This window comes from Homo sapiens, chromosome 17 (genome assembly GCF_000001405.40).
Source record: "Homo sapiens chromosome 17, GRCh38.p14 Primary Assembly".
Taxonomy (NCBI): Eukaryota; Metazoa; Chordata; class Mammalia; order Primates; family Hominidae; genus Homo; species Homo sapiens.
Window position 1 is genome coordinate 74,769,859 of NC_000017.11, and position 15,983 is coordinate 74,785,841.

Genomic DNA, 15,983 nt, shown 5'->3' on the forward strand with positions numbered 1-15,983 from the left:
CTTATCTGGCCATTGTGACCTGATTGGAGGGCAAGTGTCCAGTGCCAGGGGAAAACAAACCGGTCCACTGAGCCCGGGGACATGCTGTGTGGCTAGCTGGGGTGGAAGGGACTGTTCAAGGGCAAGGTGCCCTGCCCCCAACAAAAGACCCAGGTCCCTGATACCTTTGGCACCTGAAGCCTGATCTGGAGGTCCAGGAAGGTGGCTTGCAAGAGCTAGGCTGCAGAGCCGGGAGGTTCCGGGCAGGTGCTCAGGAGGAAGGTGCCCCCAGGCTAGTCTCCACCCAACCCAAAGGGACACCTCTCAGAAAATAGGCTCCTGGGCTGAGGGGAATGAGTAAAGCAGGTAGATCTGGAATCAGGGAGTGGACAGTGTCCCCCAGGCCAGTCACTATCTGGCCATCTCCTGCTCCTTGTCAGAGGAACCATCCAAAACCCTTACCACAGCAGTGCCCTGCTCAGCTGACCTGCCCCCACCCCACCCTTGCTTCTACCCTTTGGCCCCTGACAGATTCCCCTCCACAGGGGTCGTGGAGGGCCCCTCCCTATCTCACCTGCTGGGTGGGGAAGCCCTGGGGGACCTTTGACTCTTCATTAACCTGAAGACTGGTGGAAGGAATGGGTGGCCCCAAGGGAACTCTCATTGCTGAGGTACACATGGTACGAAGGGAGCCACGGCAAGCAACGCGTTCGTTTTATAATGTTTGTTTTATACTGAGGCATGTTTTCGGTTCCAGTTGTTCACATGCAGTCTGCTGTGAGACTCCAAGATCAAGGGTGCTGGGAGGCCTTAGGCAAGTCACCTTACTTATCTAAGACTGTTTCCCCACCTGGAAGATGCCCTACAAGCCTCCTGTGGCTGTGTTTAGAAAGCATGCCCGGCCTTTCTTGACAGCCAGCCACCCCAGATGATGGCAGGGCAAGGAAGACTGTTAGGAGTCAGAGTGCTCCCCTCAGGTGGAAGGAAACTGGGCCAACTCTACTTTGTAAGCCATAGGGTGCCAGGTAGCCCGGCCACCCTGAGCCTGTGCCTCCACTGCCCCCGCGTGGCCAGTCAGGTGCAGCTGCTCCCAGAGATGGAGGGTGAGGAACAGACGTGGGAGCACCAGAGGGACAGAGCTGATGGCCTGACGCTCTCTTCAGGAGGGCACCCCCAAGGGGCCTCTGCTTCCTCAGTGCCCCCTGAGCTTTATCAGCAGAGGGGTGTTTTCCAGCCACAAGGAGCTGTATCTAACACTAATGCCTTTAAACTCAAGACTGGCTCCAGGAGAGAGGAGGACGGACACTAGGTTGAGGGGCCAGGCCACACTCACTCTGGACCACCTGTTGTTCCCGGGTCAAGTTCCCAGGGTCACACCAGCCTGCCTCTGCAGGACAAGAGGACCAAGCTGCCCTTGAGTGGACACTGTGAGGCTGGGGCTCGTGGTAGCTCTTCACATGGACCAAACGGGAAAATCAGGAAAGCTGGTAGTGCCTGGAGCTTCACTCCCAGCCAGGGCAGCACCTCTGGCCTCTAAGGAGAAAGGCCTGTCCACTCCCATCCATGTTCCAGGTCCCCCTGCACCTCCAGCTCCCACCTTCATCCCGACATCTCCCATGGATCCCTGCCCTCCATTCCAGCTTCCTAGAGTCTGGGTCTGGGTTTGGCCGGGAGGGGAGAAGGGAACTGGCCCTGGCCCTGGAGTCTGCTCAGCCACACCACTAGCTGGAGGGAGGCCACAGCAAGCCCCGCCAGAGTCTGAAGGGCCTCGAAAGGTGATTCCCAGCCTGGGCCAGGAGCACTCTCCCAGTGCAGGGCTCTGGTCTTTGAAGTGTATGGGCCCAACACCCTGCTCACACAGAGTGGCTGCCCACAAGGCCCAGCCATCAGCAGGGCTCTGCCGACCCATCTCTGTAAGGCTTCTCTTCCACGTGGCTGGTCTGCTCCAGAAGCCACTGATGCTCGGACTCACTCACTGTCAGTCTGAGGGTCACCTCCTGAAAAACACTGCTCGTAGCCACCTACGTGAGCCAGAGAGAACAAAGCCTGCTAAGTTACAGTATTACCACCACCAGGCCCACCACCCAGGTCTAAGCCCCACTCTGCCCCAGGACATCCTTACCTGCTCAAAGTGAAGTTTCTGGAACATCCGGATGCTTGGTTCATTTCCTTGCCCAATTTTAGCCTCAAACTTGGTCAGACCTAGCGTGGTCACTCCTCGCAGAGGAGATGAGACAGGGGCAAGTAAGGAGGCGCCTGCCCCCACCCTCCTGTCCCAAGCTGCAGAGGAGGAACCTTCACCTGCCCCCAACCCTCACACCTGAACAAAGTTCACCTGGGGCCTGCCCACTTCCCGCATTGTCTGCTCACACTTTCTTACCGTAAGACAGCATCGCGAGAACGGCCTCAGTGCCAAGGCCCTTACCCCTGCAGCTGGGCTCTAGGAGAGACAACAGGAGCGGCGCTGACGCCGTGTGCCAGGCTCCAGTGCGGGCACTTGGCAGACACCATCTCATTTAATTCTCAACAACTCTGAAGTTGCTACTATCATTACCATTCTGCAGACGAGGAAACAGGCACAAAGAAGTGTGAAAGGCCTCACAGCTTGCAACCCAGCAACCTGACTTCAAAGCTGACCTCTTTACCTCATGGAGTCAGTATGCTGCCTCATGGGGATAGTCAGTAGCCACTTGGGGGAAACTGAGGACCATGAAGGAGCAGAAACAGGAGGGCCTCCTCCTGTAATATGACAACATGCTCCAGAGACCTTTTTCTGAGGGTCCCCAGCCCACCCCAACTATGGGACTAACCATACTTGAATCTACCCCAAACCAAGGGTTAAGTTCACGCCTAAGCATAAGGACTAAAGTGATGAGGCTGAGGGTGTACCACCAGGCTGAGGGGGCTAGGTGGGCAGGCTGCCCAGCCAGGCCCTGGACTCACCACATGGAGCCTCCCAGTGAACCCTGTGAGTGCCCACCCTTTGCAGCCTCGGCAGGCTCAGTCAGCAGATCTGAGAGCCGGGAGTCAGCGGAAGGCAGGGCTAGGTGAAACAAACCTGCAATCATGACCTCGATCTCCCCCAAGGTGAGGTCTTCTAGATCTGTGAGGAAGAGGTTCACATCTCCCACCATGCAGCTCTCTTCGGTGGCGCCTGGCTGGGCCTGCCACTTCTCGGCATCCAGCACAATGAAGGTACACTCTGAGGAGGAGGTGACAGGGCTATCACACACACTCCCCAGAGGAGAGAAGAGAGGATGGTACTCCTACCCAAGCCAGAGCACTGCAGAACACCAGCATCTCTGAGTCTGCCAGGAGAAGAGGGGGTCCCAGAGCTTCCTTCAGCTCATTACAAAATTCCAAATCTGCCTCATACAGAAAAAGCCTCTCCAACCAGCAACCAAATTCTCAGAGAGCAGGGAACACAGAGGAGGGCAGTCACCACACTAGGCTGTGGTGAGGGACATGAGGGGCAGGGCCTCAATTTACAGCCAGAGCCCCAAATGCTCTACTTTCTCCAAATCCTTCCAAGCCCGATGCAGTGGGTGGGGAAGAGGACAGAAGGGTCAGCCACAGGGACTGGCTTCAGGGCCATGAGAATACAGGAGTTCCAGCACCTTCCAGGCTTTTCACAAAGCTTCTATGGCCGGGGCTGGGAAAGGGAAGGAACCTGGAGACTGACTGTGGAGTCAGCCCTCCCAGTACCAGGGCTAGGGGAAGTGGGGGGGCACTCCTCACTGTCTGCATCTTCCTGCCAGCTGCACTGCATGGCATACTCCTGCTCCAGGGTCAGCGGCTCCGAGGCTGTCAAACGCTGCAGCTCCTCTGATTTCATCCACTCGTGGTACCTGCTGGGACAGAGGGGTGGCTTTAGACATGGAGGACTCATTCAGAGGCATACGTCTGACACCTTATGAGGGTCCAGAACCAGACAGGGCTAACATAGGGCTCAAAGAAGACCCAAAGGGTTATGATTGCTCCTAAGGCAGGGGCCACAGACACAAGACCCAGAAGCAAGCTAGTCTTACACAAGAACAGCAGGACGAGTCAGTTCTATCTGTCCAATTTCCTATCCTGTCTCGGGTCAGTGCGGAGGAGCAGTCTGAAACCAAACATTCTTCAAATTCCAGAAGGGGATGTATATGGCAAGCCAACCTCAACAAAGGCGGCTGGACAGATCCCACGAAGTTAGGGCACCAGGAACCCTCAAACGGAAAACTACAAGTAGAGAATACCCATCTACAGCACCACTATCCCAATCTACCAGACATGTGCCAACTGCCCCCACAGGAATCCCATCATGACTCAGTCCTGGCCTTTTGAATGGTAGATATCACAACTCATCAGCTCAGAGTTCAAGGACAAGCTAACATTAAGTCTCCAAGAACTGAACATACTCACTGGCACCAGGGAAACATCACTAATTTACAATTAGGTGAGAAGACAATTTCTTTTTCTTCCACGTTTAGTTTACATAAAGCAATTCCTTGCTGAAAGGCCAAAAAGCTGAGAGAATGAAAGGGAAGAGGATGGGCAGCTCCTCCCAAGGAAGTCACAGTCCCCAGGTTCTGCTATTTTTTTTTTTTTTTTTTTTGAGACAGAGTTTTACTCTTGTTGCCCAGGCTGGAATTACAGGCATGTGCCACCATGCCCAGCTATTTTTTTTGTATTTTTATTAGAGACGGGGTTTCTCCACGTTGATCAGGCTGGTCTCTTTTTTTTTTTTTTTTTGAGACGGAGTCTCGATCTGTCACCCAGGCTGGAGTGCAGTGGCGCGATCTCGGCTCACTGTAAGCTCCGCCTCCCGGGTTCACACATTCTCCTGCCTCAGCCTCCCGAGTAGCTGGGACTACAGGCGCCCGCCACCACATCCGGCTAATTTTTTTGTATTTTTAGTAGAGACGGGGTTTCACCATGTTAGCCAGGATGGTCTCGCTCTCCTGAGCTTGTGATCCGCCTGCCTCGGTCTCCCAAAGTGCTGGGATTACAGGCGTGAGCCACTGCGCCCAGCCTTTATTTTATTTTATTTTATTTTTGAGACAAAGTCTCACTCTGTTGCCCAGGCTGGAGTACAGTGGTGTGATCTCGGCTCACCACAACCTCCACCTCCCTGGTTCAAGTGATTCTCCTGCCTCAGCCTCCCAAGTAGCTGGAATTACAGGTGCCGGGCAACAAGCCCAGCTAATTTTTTGTGTTTTTAGTAGAGATGGCGTTTTATCATGTTGGCCAGGCTGGTCTTGAACTACTGACCTCATGATCCACCCGCCTCAGCCTCCCAAAGTGCTGGGATTACAGGCGTGAGCCACCGCACCCGGCCGTTTTTTTGTTTTTGTTTGTTTTTGTTTTTTTGTTTTTTTTGTTTTTTTTTGAGACAGGTTCTTGCTCTGTCACCCAGGCTGGAGTACAGTGGTACAATCACAGCTCACAGCAGTCTTCATCTCCTGGGCTCAGGCAATCCTCCCACCTCAGCCTCCCTAGTAGCTGGGACTGCAGCTGTGCACCACCATGCCTGGCTAATTTTTGTATTTTTTTGTAGAGACAAGGTCTCGCTACGTTACCCAAGCTGGTCTCGAACTGCTGGGCTCAAGCAATCCTCCTGCCACAGCCTCCCAAAGTCCTGGAATTACAGGCGTGAGCCACGGCACCCAGCCTTTTTTCCCCCCTCATATATAATTATTTCTCACAACCAATGTTTCTTCTTAGGGGAAATAGCCCTGAGACTGGGGCTGTACCTTACACAGCTCTGGGTGCTGATACGCACCCCATGTCAAGCGGGAAAGATACCTGGGCACATGCTCCGAGGTGTAGGGTACAAGGACCACCTTCTTCCCCAGCAGCAAGGTGTTCTGATTCAACCTCATGGTAGCAGCCTGCATGCAGATGGGGAGAGCAAAGACTTCAGGACCCTGAATTTCCTCCAACTTTGGGTAGGCGCTCCAGCTTTCCTGCTGGGGCTAAGTTGACTTCCGTCATTAGTTCCGTCTAGACACTTCAAAGAATACAGACTCCAAAATTCTTGCAAGAAAGAGAACCAGGCTGGTTAAGGATAATTAAACAATCCTTGACTCCCACTCCAAGAGGCCAAGCCTGGGCTCCGTTTCTGCCGGTTCCTTCCGTCCACTCCCCAGAACTTCGATTCCTCAAACCCAAGCACCAAGTACCAAGTACCAAAGTATCCCCAGAGCTCCCATTACTTGCCCCAGTCCAGGGATTCCAACCCAGAATCAACTTTCAGCCCTGCCTTAAACCTACTTCCAACCTCTTACCCCGGCGACCACCCCACGGGGCTCTAGCCACTCCCTCCCCGCCCCCGACCACTTCAGGGCAAGGCGGGCTTAGTCTTAGGCCCTCCCCTTTGAGTGGCGTTCTAGACCACTCTCTTCGACCCTCCAACCACGCGGACCCGGGTACTGCCAAGCTCACACCCACCTACCACCGACGAAATCGTCCCCCGCAGAAAGGGTGATCTACCTCCTCCAACCAGCCACGTTCCCAGGCCCGGCCGGCTACCGCCCCTTCCGCATGCGCGTGAGAACGCGCCCCGCCCACTTCCGCCATGCTGACGGCAGCCGCCAGGCCCCAATCCCGGTCCCGCCCCCGCGAGGCGCCCAATCAGCGCGCGCGAAAAAGGTGGGCTGTGGGGCCGGCGCATGCGCGCTGCGGAAGCTGGTGCTGGACAGCTGGCGCCGGCAGCAGCGGACCGGCGGGAGACGGCGGCTTGGGAGCTGGCTGTGCTGCAGGTGTTGGGTCGGGTCGGGTCGGGACGGGCGGGAGAGGACGAGACGGGTCGGGATAGGTTGGGGCGGGGCGGGGCGGCACTAGACTCGGGACTCCTCCAGGAGGGAGAGAGAGGGAGAGGCTGGGAGTGGGGTTCTTGAGAAAAGAGGGAGCTTTGAGGGTGGGGAACCCTAAGAGAGTAGGTGGGGCCAGGGAGTGGAGGCCCCATTAAAAAAAGGAGGCCTTAGTGCCAAGAGTGGAGTTGGAAGGGCAATGTAGGAAAGCCCCCAGCTCCCTGCCCTAGGCAGAGGCGGCAGACAGTTCCTTGGGCTCCCATGTGTGGTAGTGAGCTCCTGGTTCCTGGAACTAAACGAGGATAACCACCCCAGAGCGTGGAAAGGGGGCTCTTGTGGTGGGTGAGACTTAGTGGTTTTAGAGGCCCCTTAAATCACTTGCACCCCGAGCAGCATTGAAAACATCCGTGCTGGGCACAGAGCAGTGCCCTGCACAGCAAGGGAAATGTTAGAAGAAACCGTCCAGATTTCTGTCATCCAGGGTGACCCCTCCCTCGGGGGTGAGTCTTGTGACAGATACTGAGGCCCTAAGTGTCTGTGATAAAAGAACCAGAGGTGGCAGGGGAAGTCTGCAAGCCTCCTCCCACCCCTGTCTCAGTCCATCAGATAGGTGAAGCCTGCTCTTTTGTTTTAAGGAGCTGCGGCAGCCGCCGTCCTTGCACCTAAGGAACCTCTGCTGCCAGCCCTTCCTCACTTTTGGAAATGGCGGGTGAAATTACAGAGACCGGGGAACTCTACTCTTCCTACGTGAGTGTGACTTATAGAACCTTTTGCTCACTTAAGTGTTCCTGGCTTCTAGAAAAGCACATTGCTTGCTGGAGATGGGACTAGTGAGTGCTGCTGCTTGAGCAGACCATAGTGGAAGCAGGATGGGGGAGTTCCATGGGGCAGCGACTACAGTGCTGCTGTGGTGGCTCAGAATGTAAGTCAGATTTATTCTCTTTTTAAGGTGTTTGTCAGAGTGGTCAAGCCAAACAAAATCGCCATGCTGTTTATAATGTTAATCCCGGGCTGGGCACGGTGGCTCACGCCTGTAATCCCAGCACTTTGGGAGGCTGAAGCGGGCAGATCACCTGAGGTCAGGAGTTCAAGACCAGCCTGGCCAACATGGTAAAACCCTGTCTCTACTAAAAATACAAAATTAGCCGGGCATGGTGGCACTGTAATCCCAGCTACTCGGGAGGCTGAGGCAGGAGAATCGCTTGAACCCGGGAGGCGGACGTTGCAGTGAGCTGAGATCGAGCCGTTGCACTCCAGCCTGGGCAAAAAGAGCGAAACTCTGTCTCAAAAATAAAGAAATAATGTTCATCTCCAGGCTACCACACTTGCCTGCAGTGCTGCCCTTCAGATGAACAGTGATTGACAGCTGTTGACTCTGGGTTTTGCTCATCTCAGCAGTTGGAAACCGCTTTGGTCTTTACTGAATTTTAAATTGCACAACTTTTATAGTCTTGGATGGCGTAAGAAGCAGCGAAAGCATACAGAGACTTCTAATTACAGTTTGGTGGACTCTGCAATTAGAACAATTAGAATGATTGATTCTCACTGTCTTAGGTCTGTGTTACCTCTGGCTGCCCCCAACACACACGCAGTTTATCTTCTCTATGTAACGTATGATTGGTCATAGTTGTTACATCACAGGGCCCTCTTGCCTGGATAAGTAGCCAGAGGGTTGGAATAATCAGATGGTTGACTCAGGTTGCTACCAACCCTCCCAGGCAAAAGCAGCACTGCCCTAAGTAGCAAGAGTTTTCTAGAACTTGACCTGCCTTCAACAGCTGCCCTGCCTTGTACATAGCTTCCTAGCCTGGGGATCTCTGGTCTGTTTCTGCTAGCTTCACAGACTAGCATTGTGGTGTGATGGACAAGGAAGTGTCTCCAAGACATTTCCTTCACAGCTGGAAGAAAGCCTTCCTGATTCCAGAGTCTTCCTATTGGGCCTGTGCCATTCATGTGTGGCAATAAAGGAGCCTTCTTCACCCATCACCTGTGTAATTTCTCAGGGGAAGTCTTTTTTTTTTTTTTTTTTTTTTTTTTGAGACAGAGTTCCACTCTTGTTGCCCAGGCTGGAGTGCAATGGTGCAATCTCGGCTCACTGCAACCTCTGCCTCCCAGGTTCAACCTCTGCCTCCCAGGTTCAAGCAATTCTCCTGCCCCACCCTCCCAAGTAGCTGGGACTACAGGCATGCACCACCCTGCCCAGCTAATTTTTTGTATTTAGTAGAGACAGGGTTTCACCATGTTGGTCATGCTGGTCTTGAACTCCTGACCTCAGGTGATCCACCCGCCTCAGCCTCCCAAAGTGCTGGGATTACAGCCGTGAGCCACTGCACCCAGCCTCTCAGGTGAAGTCTTTCATGAACCCTGGAATGGAATAAATAGTGTCCCTCTCATTTGTGGAATTATGTAACAGCTCCTAGCCTCCTGCTGTCAGTGATGAAATCTCTATGCTGTCTATTAATGTAAAAGTCACCACGGCTCCTGCTTTTTCTTACAACATCTGTAAATTTAGAGATAAGGAGATGAGTCATCCCTGTAACTAAGTTTTGTAAGGAAAACACTTGGATATGTCCCCATTTCTTGTATCTCCGGTTGTTTAAGGGGTCCTCTCACATGTCAGCATGTGCCCACAGGAAATGAGGCAGTTAGGCCTGCAAGCTTCAGTGCGCTCTGCCCGTTTTTGTTCTCCATCTCCTCTGTGTTTTATTTCGTTCAGGGTCTTTGTTGCCCAGAGGGCCAGCTCTGGGCATTGGCCATAAACAAGTGCTTGTGTTGTTTTATCCTACTGGTGAAGAGAGATGTAGGGAGGAGATGGGGTGGGATGGGGAGGGGATGATGTGACATCAAACAGGAGGTGTAGTGGTCAGTGTTCTGAGGGGAGAAGACACCTTCTTCCTAAGGGTTCCTTAACTCCCCCGTCCTGGAACAATTCTTGGTCCTCTGTAAGACCAGAAGAGTTGGTTGTCACTGAACCCAGATAAGCTGTGGAACTAACTCACTGCTGATGCTGGCTGCTCTGAGTTCCCCTGCAGGCCCCAGCTCAAGACAACGTGGGCAGAGCTCTGCCCTGGCTGCCTTGGGAAACCAAGACACGGGGCAGGTCATTCATACGTGTGCTTCAGCCCACGCGCATTTACAAGACAAAGCCTCTCCTTAGCTCTCTATTGCCCCATTCATTTTGAGTTCTTTTCCCCTTCAGGAGTTCCAAGGATGTTCGCTTTAGCTTGAATTATTCTGCCTAAAATATTTGTAACAAGCAGACGAACCTCCTAGGTGGCTCAGATGTCACACCCTCTCAAGGGTAGTGCTGAACACGGGAACGTGGTTCAGAGAGGTACATGTCCCCTTAAGGGATCTCAGGATAGGCATGTCTGTTTCCCCATTTATGAGGACCGAGAGTGACACAGAACTGAAGTGGTTGTTGTGTGATCAAAATACAGGATGCTGTAGGTCACGCCCGACAGAAGGGTCGGCCGCTGAGGGTGCCTCTGCCTGCTGGTTCCTGCTGAAGATTGTTGCGGTTGCTTTCGAAGGAGAGAGGCTTGTTTCACACCCTGAAATCCTAGTCATTGCTTCCGCATCTTTGCTGCCTTCTGTTTCCTTTGACAATTGTCAGAGGGGAAGCTGTTGAAAGATACTGGTGACATCTGCCCCATGCAGGTCATGAGTGAGGCTGCTGGGTGGAGACGAGGCATGTGGGATGCTGCACTGAGCTCTCTAGGGCATAGGAGAGCAGGCCAGCCGTCCCAGGGAGCAGTGCCTGTGCCTCCTCCAGTGCAGCCACAGAGGAAGAGGTGAGAATTGGAGATAACTCAGTTTAGAATGCATGCATTGGTCTTCATTATCAAGACTGCAGTAGAGCCTATTCCTCAGCTTTCTGCCACTGCTTCCCAGGAGTCTGGCCCACAGAACTGTCCCACGACCAGCAGAAGAGAACGTCTCCTTTCTCTTCCTTCCCCACAACCCCTCCTGACCCAACCTGTGGCTCAGCCCAGATTTGCTTCCTGCCTCTATGTCTGTTCATTGTGATTGGCCATCACTGATTACCTTTACAGAAGGTGAAGAGGACTGAATGCTCGCCAGGAGTGCCACAGTCCTGAGAAGGCAGAGAAGTCCTACGTTACCCTGCAGGATTCCCTGAGCCCCCACTAAACACACAGGGCTTGCTTTGGAACTGAAAAAATTGCAACAAAGCAAGACAACTGCAATTACCCATTTCTGCTCCCAACTGCCAATAGTTTCTCTCTTCATTCATTTCTTTGTAAAGTTCTTAAAGGTTCCTAAGTTTCTTTTGGGAGCATGCTTATTTCATTATACCTCTCTCTACAGCAGTGGTTGTCAACTAGCGGTGATCCTGCCCCCCAGAGGACAGTAGGCAGTGTCTAGAGACATTTTTGATTGTCAGGACAGTACTGGTTGGAGAGAGGTTGTTACCGGCACCTAGTGGGCAAAGGCCGGGGATGCCACTAAACATCCCACAATGCACAGGACAGGTCCCCATCATGAAAAAAGACCTGGCCCCCAAATTTCCATAGTGCCCAAGCTGAGAAACCCTGATCCACAAGAGACCTTTGACTTTTACATCCCAAGACCTTCAAGCATCCCTGAATTTACAAATGCCTCTTATACTGTTTAGTTTCCCCATAAAACTTTTGCCTAAGAACCATTACTTTCTTTTTTTTTTCTTAAGACAGGGTCTCACTGTGTCACCCAGTGAGCAATTACAGCTCACTGCAGCCTTGACTTCCTGGGCTCAGGCGATTTTCCCATCTCAGTCTTCCAAGTAGCTGGGACTACAGGCACTTGCCACCGTCCCCGGCTAATATTTTTATTTTTTTGTAGAGATAGAGTCTTGCTACATTGCCTAGGCTAGTCTCAAACTGCTGGACTCAAGCCATCCTCCCACCTCAGGAGTTCTGGGATCACAGGCATGAGCCACCATACCTAGCCTAGAACTGTCACTTTCTTATGCCTCTTTGCTTTCTCTTTACTTCCATTATGGGAACATCATTCTCCATAAAGAAATAAGGTTTTTTTCCCTTCATAAGTATTACTGCCTACAGAAGCGATAAGCAGAGAACAGAGCTGCAGGGAGGGCAGATGTTAGGTTTTCCGCTGGGGTCTGTTCTGTTAGTGCCCTGCTTAAAATGCTCCAAAACATCCAACCCCCTGTGCCATCCAAAAGGGCTCTTCGCAGTCTGACTGCAGCCTCTTCCAGCCCCACCCCTGCCCGGCTTGCTGTGCTTCAGCCACACAGGCCTTCTGAAAGCTCCTCGAGCCTACCTGCCTCTTTCCCACTGTAGGCCTCTGGGCCGGGAAGTCTCTCCCTCGTCTATTGCCTGGGTAGCACCTTCTCATCCTCCAGCTCCCTTCCTGGGGTATCCACTGTTTCCAATGCTTTCCCATTGTGTCTTCTCACAGTGCCCTGATTGTTTGCTTCATAACGCCTCTCTCAAGCTGTAACCGTAGTTGTTTTCTTCCCAGGCTGGAGCGCAGTGGCATGATCTCGGCTCACTGCAACCTCTGCCTCCCGGGTTCAAGTGATTCTCATGCCTCAGCCTCCCGAGTAGCTGGGATTACAGGCGTGCACCATCATGCCCGGCTAATTTTTTGTATTTTAGTAGAGATGGAGTTTTACTATGTTGCCCAGGCTAGTCTCGAACTCCTCAGCTCAGGCAATACACCCACCTCAGCCTCTCAAAGTGCTAGGATTACAGGTATGAGCCACCACACCCGGCCTGTAGTTGTTTTCTTGTTGTCTGTTTCCTCCTCCTTAGAACGTAGCCCCGTGAGTTCAAGGGCCGTATCTGTCTGGTTTATCATTGTATCCTCAGCTCCAAGCACAGGGCCCGGTCTGTAGAAGGCTCTTGTTGGTTTTTGAATAAATGAGCAGAACTGAGCTAGCTAGATGACCCCTTCCCACCCTTGTACACATGAGCATGAAAGTACCAGCAAAAGTAAACATGAGTTAGTTATAGACATTCACAGTCACTGTGAAAAGCCAGAACTTCCCATTCAGAAGACCAGCAATGGGCTGTGTGTCCCCTGTCTCACCCAACTGCTGCCCTCAAAATTATTCTAGCAGCACCACTCTGAGCCAGGACTCCCAAAGGGGAATCATATCACGATGATGATGTGATCCAACCAAAGCATAGGAAGATGATTCAAACTTGTTTTCATCATTCTGGGATTTGTCTGTGGGATCAAATTGAGATTGAGGGCTGGGCGTGTTGGCTCACTCCTGTAATCCCAGCACTTTGAAAGGTCGAGGAGGGTGGATCATCTGAGGTCAGGGGTTCGAGACCCAGCCTGACCAACATGGTGAAACGCTGTCTCTACTAAAACTACAAAATTAAGCCAGGCATGATGGTGGGTGCCTGTAATCCCAGCTACTCCAGAGGCTGAGGCAGGAGAATCACTTGAATCCAGGAGGCAAGGTTGCAGTGAGCCAAGAGCACGCCACTGCACTCCAACTTGGGCAACAGAGCGAGACTCCGTCTCAAAAAATAAAAATAAAAATTGAGATTGTGACATCCAAAACTGGATGGTGAAGACTCTCAGACTCACGTCAGAGATAAGCAGGGTCCAGTGCAATCAGCTGGGTGTTCCCATCTCCAGCCTGTGTGCCAGACACCCTGAGAAATGCAGAGAGAAGTGAGACGCAGCCCACGGCCACAGTGAGCTTCATATTTAGTAACAGGGAAAAGAGAAATATGCCAATATCTAAAACCCAAGAGAGGGCATAAGAAGTTTTGTTGCCACAAGGATTCAAAGGCGGGAGGCAGGACAACTTTGGGAGCCTGGGAAGGACTTTGTGGTAGAAGTTGCATTGGAATGGGCCCTGAAGGCTGGGTAGGAGTTGGAGGGGCTGGGGAGGTGGCACAAGAGGGCTTTGGTCCTGTGTCAGGTATTCAGGTACTGCAGGCAGAGCACTTTCCTCTCCACAGGGTGGCCTCCCTTTTGTCCTGCTCTCAAATATCCAGTTAGCACCTGCTGGGAAGCCTGTCTTCTCTAACCACTGCCCAGCCCCTCCTTCTCCCAGCCAATAGCTCCAAGGCAGGAGTTGGCAATCTCTATTTCTTCATGCTTTTTCTTTTTTTTTTTTTTTTTTTTTTTTTTTGAGACGGAGTCTCGCTCTGTTGCCCAGCCTGGAGTGCAGTGGCGCAATCTTGGCTCACTGCAACCTCCACCTCCCGGGTTCAAGCGATCCCCCTGCCTCAGCCTCCTGAGTAGCTGGGATTACAGGCACACGCCACCCCCCAGCTAATTTTTGCATTTTTAGTAGAGACAGGGTTTCACCATGTTGGACAGGCTGGTCTCAAACTCCTGACCTCGTGTTCCACCCACCTCAGCCTCCCAAAGTGCCAGGATTACAGGCATGAGCCACTGCATCCGTCCTCTTCATGCTTTAAAAAAAAAAAAACAAAATTGATGGAGTCTGGGAGAATGGGCACCAATTTTTGTGTTTCTATCACAAATTCAGCATGTGGCTATCTCAGAAAAGCTTTAAAATAGAGAAAAGTGCATCTTTCTAAGAACAGGAGTGAAAATGAGAAATGGGTAAGCATTCCCAGAGATGAGGTGTTTGTCTTTTTTAATGATCAGAAACAGGTGGTAAAGCATACGGTATGTCACCCAATTTAGCAGAGTACAGGAAGACCAGTTAGGAGTCTACTGCACCAGTCCAGGCCGGAAAGACTCATTTGAATTGTAAATAAGGATAGGAGCCAGAGTTAGCCACTAAAGAAGCTCCAGAAATAAAATCACTAGAACTGTGATCTGGAGGGGAAGGAAGGAGGATGGGGCCACTGATGGGATGGATGTCTAGGTGTAGGTGACTAGCAGGCAGCTGGACTTGAGGTCTGCAGAAAGGTTGATACTAAGAGAAATACACCAGGAAAGGAGGCGTGTGCTTGGTGGAGCCTGCCGATTGCACCAAGAAAGGAAGCAGATGATGCCAAAATAGGGGTGGGCTTCTGGGAGGGAGGATTGGCAGGGGAGGAGGCTGGGGGACTGGAGAGCATCACAGAAGGGGAGGAACTCAGGTCAGACAGGAAATTCATGGTTGAGATCTTAGAAAGGGAATCATTGTAAACTGTGGGTTGTTTAAAACCTGAAGTCAGTGACCTGAGAAATCACCCTGAAGTTGGGTGGGCAAGCGGGGAGGGAAGAATGGGGAGTGGCCGCTAATGGAAATGGGCTTTTTGGGGGGTGATAAAATGGAATTAGCTGGTGGCACTGGTCACACAACCTTGTGAATATTACTAAAACCCACTGATGTGTGTACTTTAAATGGGTGGATTTTATGGTATGTGAATTATGCCTCAACTTTTTTTTTAAAAACCCTGAAGTTGGTATGGGGAGAGGGGTGGAGAAAGAGAAGCATGAATATCCGTGTCCCAAAGGACAATGGCGAGGACCTTGAGTCACATGCTCAGTGATCTTGGAAAAGTGGGTGTTTCTTTGAGGTCAGCATTATGCGCTCACCTTTGTGCCAGGTACCCCGCCTATGATGCTCTGTCCCCGGGAAGCCTACAGCCTGGTTGAGTAGAGCGCTAGCATCTGCGATGCAGCTTTAGGAGGGGACGGCAATGATGACAGCAGGAGCAGAGACTGAAACTGAACCCCAGGGCTTGAGTCATCCATGTGTTCATGTTTGGTTAACAGGCTCTGTGGTTGCAAGCCTGGCTCCTTAGGCCCCAGGTGTAATTCTCCTGTCCTGCCTCCTTCCCTGTCTACAGTGTGGCCTTCTGGCCTCCACAGTGGTGCCATCACCAGGGTCGTTCCTTGGGAGCTGTTAAGGGGAGAAGTTGATTAAGTTCCGGGCTTGAATGTTGCCTCTGTCGGTTCCAGGTTGGGCTGGTGTACATGTTTAACCTCATCGTGGGCACGGGCGCACTCACCATGCCCAAGGCATTCGCCACTGCCGGGTGGCTTGTCAGCCTCGTCCTGCTGGTGTTCCTGGGCTTCATGAGGTGAGAGGCAGCGGGGACTTCCCCACAGGGGCCAGGAGTGGAGCAGGAGGGAGTCAGCCCAGGAAGCCCGAACATGAGGGCACTGAGGGGGTGGGAAGACACCTGTCTACCCCGTATCGAGCTCAGTGAGTCCTTGCCAGGGTATTCAGAGAGGGGAAAGTGGTCACAGAGGCCTCCTGGTGGCTTGTCTTTGTGGAGCGGTTGCACAGCCCTGATCAGATAAAAACCTGGACATCCA

At 52.3% G+C, this 15,983-nt stretch overlaps 2 protein-coding genes across 35 annotated transcripts in view, besides 8 other annotated features; one reads left to right on the top strand and one right to left on the bottom strand.

Moving 5' to 3' along the window:
* NAT9 (N-acetyltransferase 9) lies at positions 671-6,487 on the bottom strand. Of its 29 annotated transcripts, NR_130953.2 has the most exons (8): positions 6,409-6,487; positions 5,764-5,849; positions 3,718-3,830; positions 3,038-3,181; positions 2,534-2,537; positions 2,360-2,419; positions 2,102-2,196; positions 671-2,000 (listed from the first exon to the last, which is right to left on the bottom strand). NR_130953.2 is itself a non-coding variant. In XM_024450687.2 (7 exons), the coding sequence occupies exons 2-7, from the start codon at positions 5,838-5,840 to the stop codon at positions 1,866-1,868; spliced, it is 621 nt and encodes a 206-aa protein (XP_024306455.1). In that variant the 5' UTR covers positions 5,841-5,849; positions 6,413-6,487; the 3' UTR covers positions 671-1,865. The 29 variants fall into 29 exon arrangements, 27 of the variants coding, with proteins under 27 accessions (XP_024306455.1, NP_001292007.1, NP_001292012.1 ...); XM_024450687.2 differs by lacking the exon at positions 2,534-2,537 and having other exon boundaries at positions 3,718-3,827; positions 6,413-6,487; NM_001305078.2 differs by lacking the exon at positions 2,534-2,537 and having other exon boundaries at positions 6,413-6,487.
* Positions 1,047-1,146: a silencer, noted in NCBI's record as "silent region_8940". NCBI's record gives its function as "represses an Ori minimal core promoter by ATAC-STARR-seq in GM12878 lymphoblastoid cells {active_cell/tissue: GM12878}" and the evidence as "EXISTENCE:reporter gene assay evidence [ECO:0000049][PMID:35858748]".
* Positions 6,169-6,288: an enhancer, noted in NCBI's record as "active region_12718". NCBI's record gives its function as "activates an Ori minimal core promoter by ATAC-STARR-seq in GM12878 lymphoblastoid cells {active_cell/tissue: GM12878}" and the evidence as "EXISTENCE:reporter gene assay evidence [ECO:0000049][PMID:35858748]".
* Positions 6,488-6,640: 153 nt separating the features above from the next.
* SLC38A12 (solute carrier family 38 member 12) overlaps positions 6,641-15,983 on the top strand; it is a 63,255-nt gene continuing 53,912 nt past the window's right edge. For all 6 annotated transcript variants that reach the window (NM_017728.4, NM_001321264.3, XM_006721963.3 and 3 more), the window contains exons 1-3: positions 6,641-6,719; positions 7,406-7,517; positions 15,624-15,745. In NM_017728.4, the coding sequence (NP_060198.3) occupies positions 7,473-7,517; positions 15,624-15,745 (167 nt within the window). In that variant the 5' untranslated portion in view covers positions 6,641-6,719; positions 7,406-7,472. The remainder of the gene's footprint in view (positions 6,720-7,405; positions 7,518-15,623; positions 15,746-15,983) is intronic.
* Positions 10,199-10,248: an enhancer, noted in NCBI's record as "active region_12719". NCBI's record gives its function as "activates an Ori minimal core promoter by ATAC-STARR-seq in GM12878 lymphoblastoid cells {active_cell/tissue: GM12878}" and the evidence as "EXISTENCE:reporter gene assay evidence [ECO:0000049][PMID:35858748]".
* Positions 10,339-10,548: an enhancer, noted in NCBI's record as "active region_12720". NCBI's record gives its function as "activates an Ori minimal core promoter by ATAC-STARR-seq in GM12878 lymphoblastoid cells {active_cell/tissue: GM12878}" and the evidence as "EXISTENCE:reporter gene assay evidence [ECO:0000049][PMID:35858748]".
* Positions 11,127-11,296: a silencer, noted in NCBI's record as "silent region_8941". NCBI's record gives its function as "represses an Ori minimal core promoter by ATAC-STARR-seq in GM12878 lymphoblastoid cells {active_cell/tissue: GM12878}" and the evidence as "EXISTENCE:reporter gene assay evidence [ECO:0000049][PMID:35858748]".
* Positions 13,455-13,975: an enhancer, noted in NCBI's record as "NANOG-H3K4me1 hESC enhancer chr17:72779452-72779972 (GRCh37/hg19 assembly coordinates)". NCBI's record gives its function as "activates a minimal SCP1, AML or CMV promoter by ChIP-STARR-seq in naive and primed H9 embryonic stem cells {active_cell/tissue: H9 hESC(naive and primed)}" and the evidence as "EXISTENCE:reporter gene assay evidence [ECO:0000049][PMID:30033119]".
* Positions 13,976-14,494: an enhancer, noted in NCBI's record as "NANOG-H3K4me1 hESC enhancer chr17:72779973-72780491 (GRCh37/hg19 assembly coordinates)". NCBI's record gives its function as "activates a minimal SCP1, AML or CMV promoter by ChIP-STARR-seq in primed H9 embryonic stem cells {active_cell/tissue: H9 hESC(primed)}" and the evidence as "EXISTENCE:reporter gene assay evidence [ECO:0000049][PMID:30033119]".
* Positions 15,055-15,555: an enhancer, noted in NCBI's record as "H3K27ac hESC enhancer chr17:72781052-72781552 (GRCh37/hg19 assembly coordinates)". NCBI's record gives its function as "activates a minimal SCP1, AML or CMV promoter by ChIP-STARR-seq in primed H9 embryonic stem cells {active_cell/tissue: H9 hESC(primed)}" and the evidence as "EXISTENCE:reporter gene assay evidence [ECO:0000049][PMID:30033119]".

Excerpts from the sequence above, each read along its gene's own strand:
- NAT9 (NM_001305082.2), bottom strand. The coding sequence starts at position 5,855 with ATGCAGGCTGCTACCATGAGGTTGAATCAGAACACCTTGCTGCTGGGG. Across the intron at positions 3,831-5,763 it reads ACCTCGGAGCATGTGCCCAG|CAGGTACCACGAGTGGATGA; the intron begins GTATCTTTCCCG and ends CCTCTGTCCCAG. Across the intron at positions 2,420-3,037 it reads GATCGAGGTCATGATTGCAG|AGCCCAGCTGCAGGGGTAAG; the intron begins GTTTGTTTCACC and ends TGTCTCTCCTAG.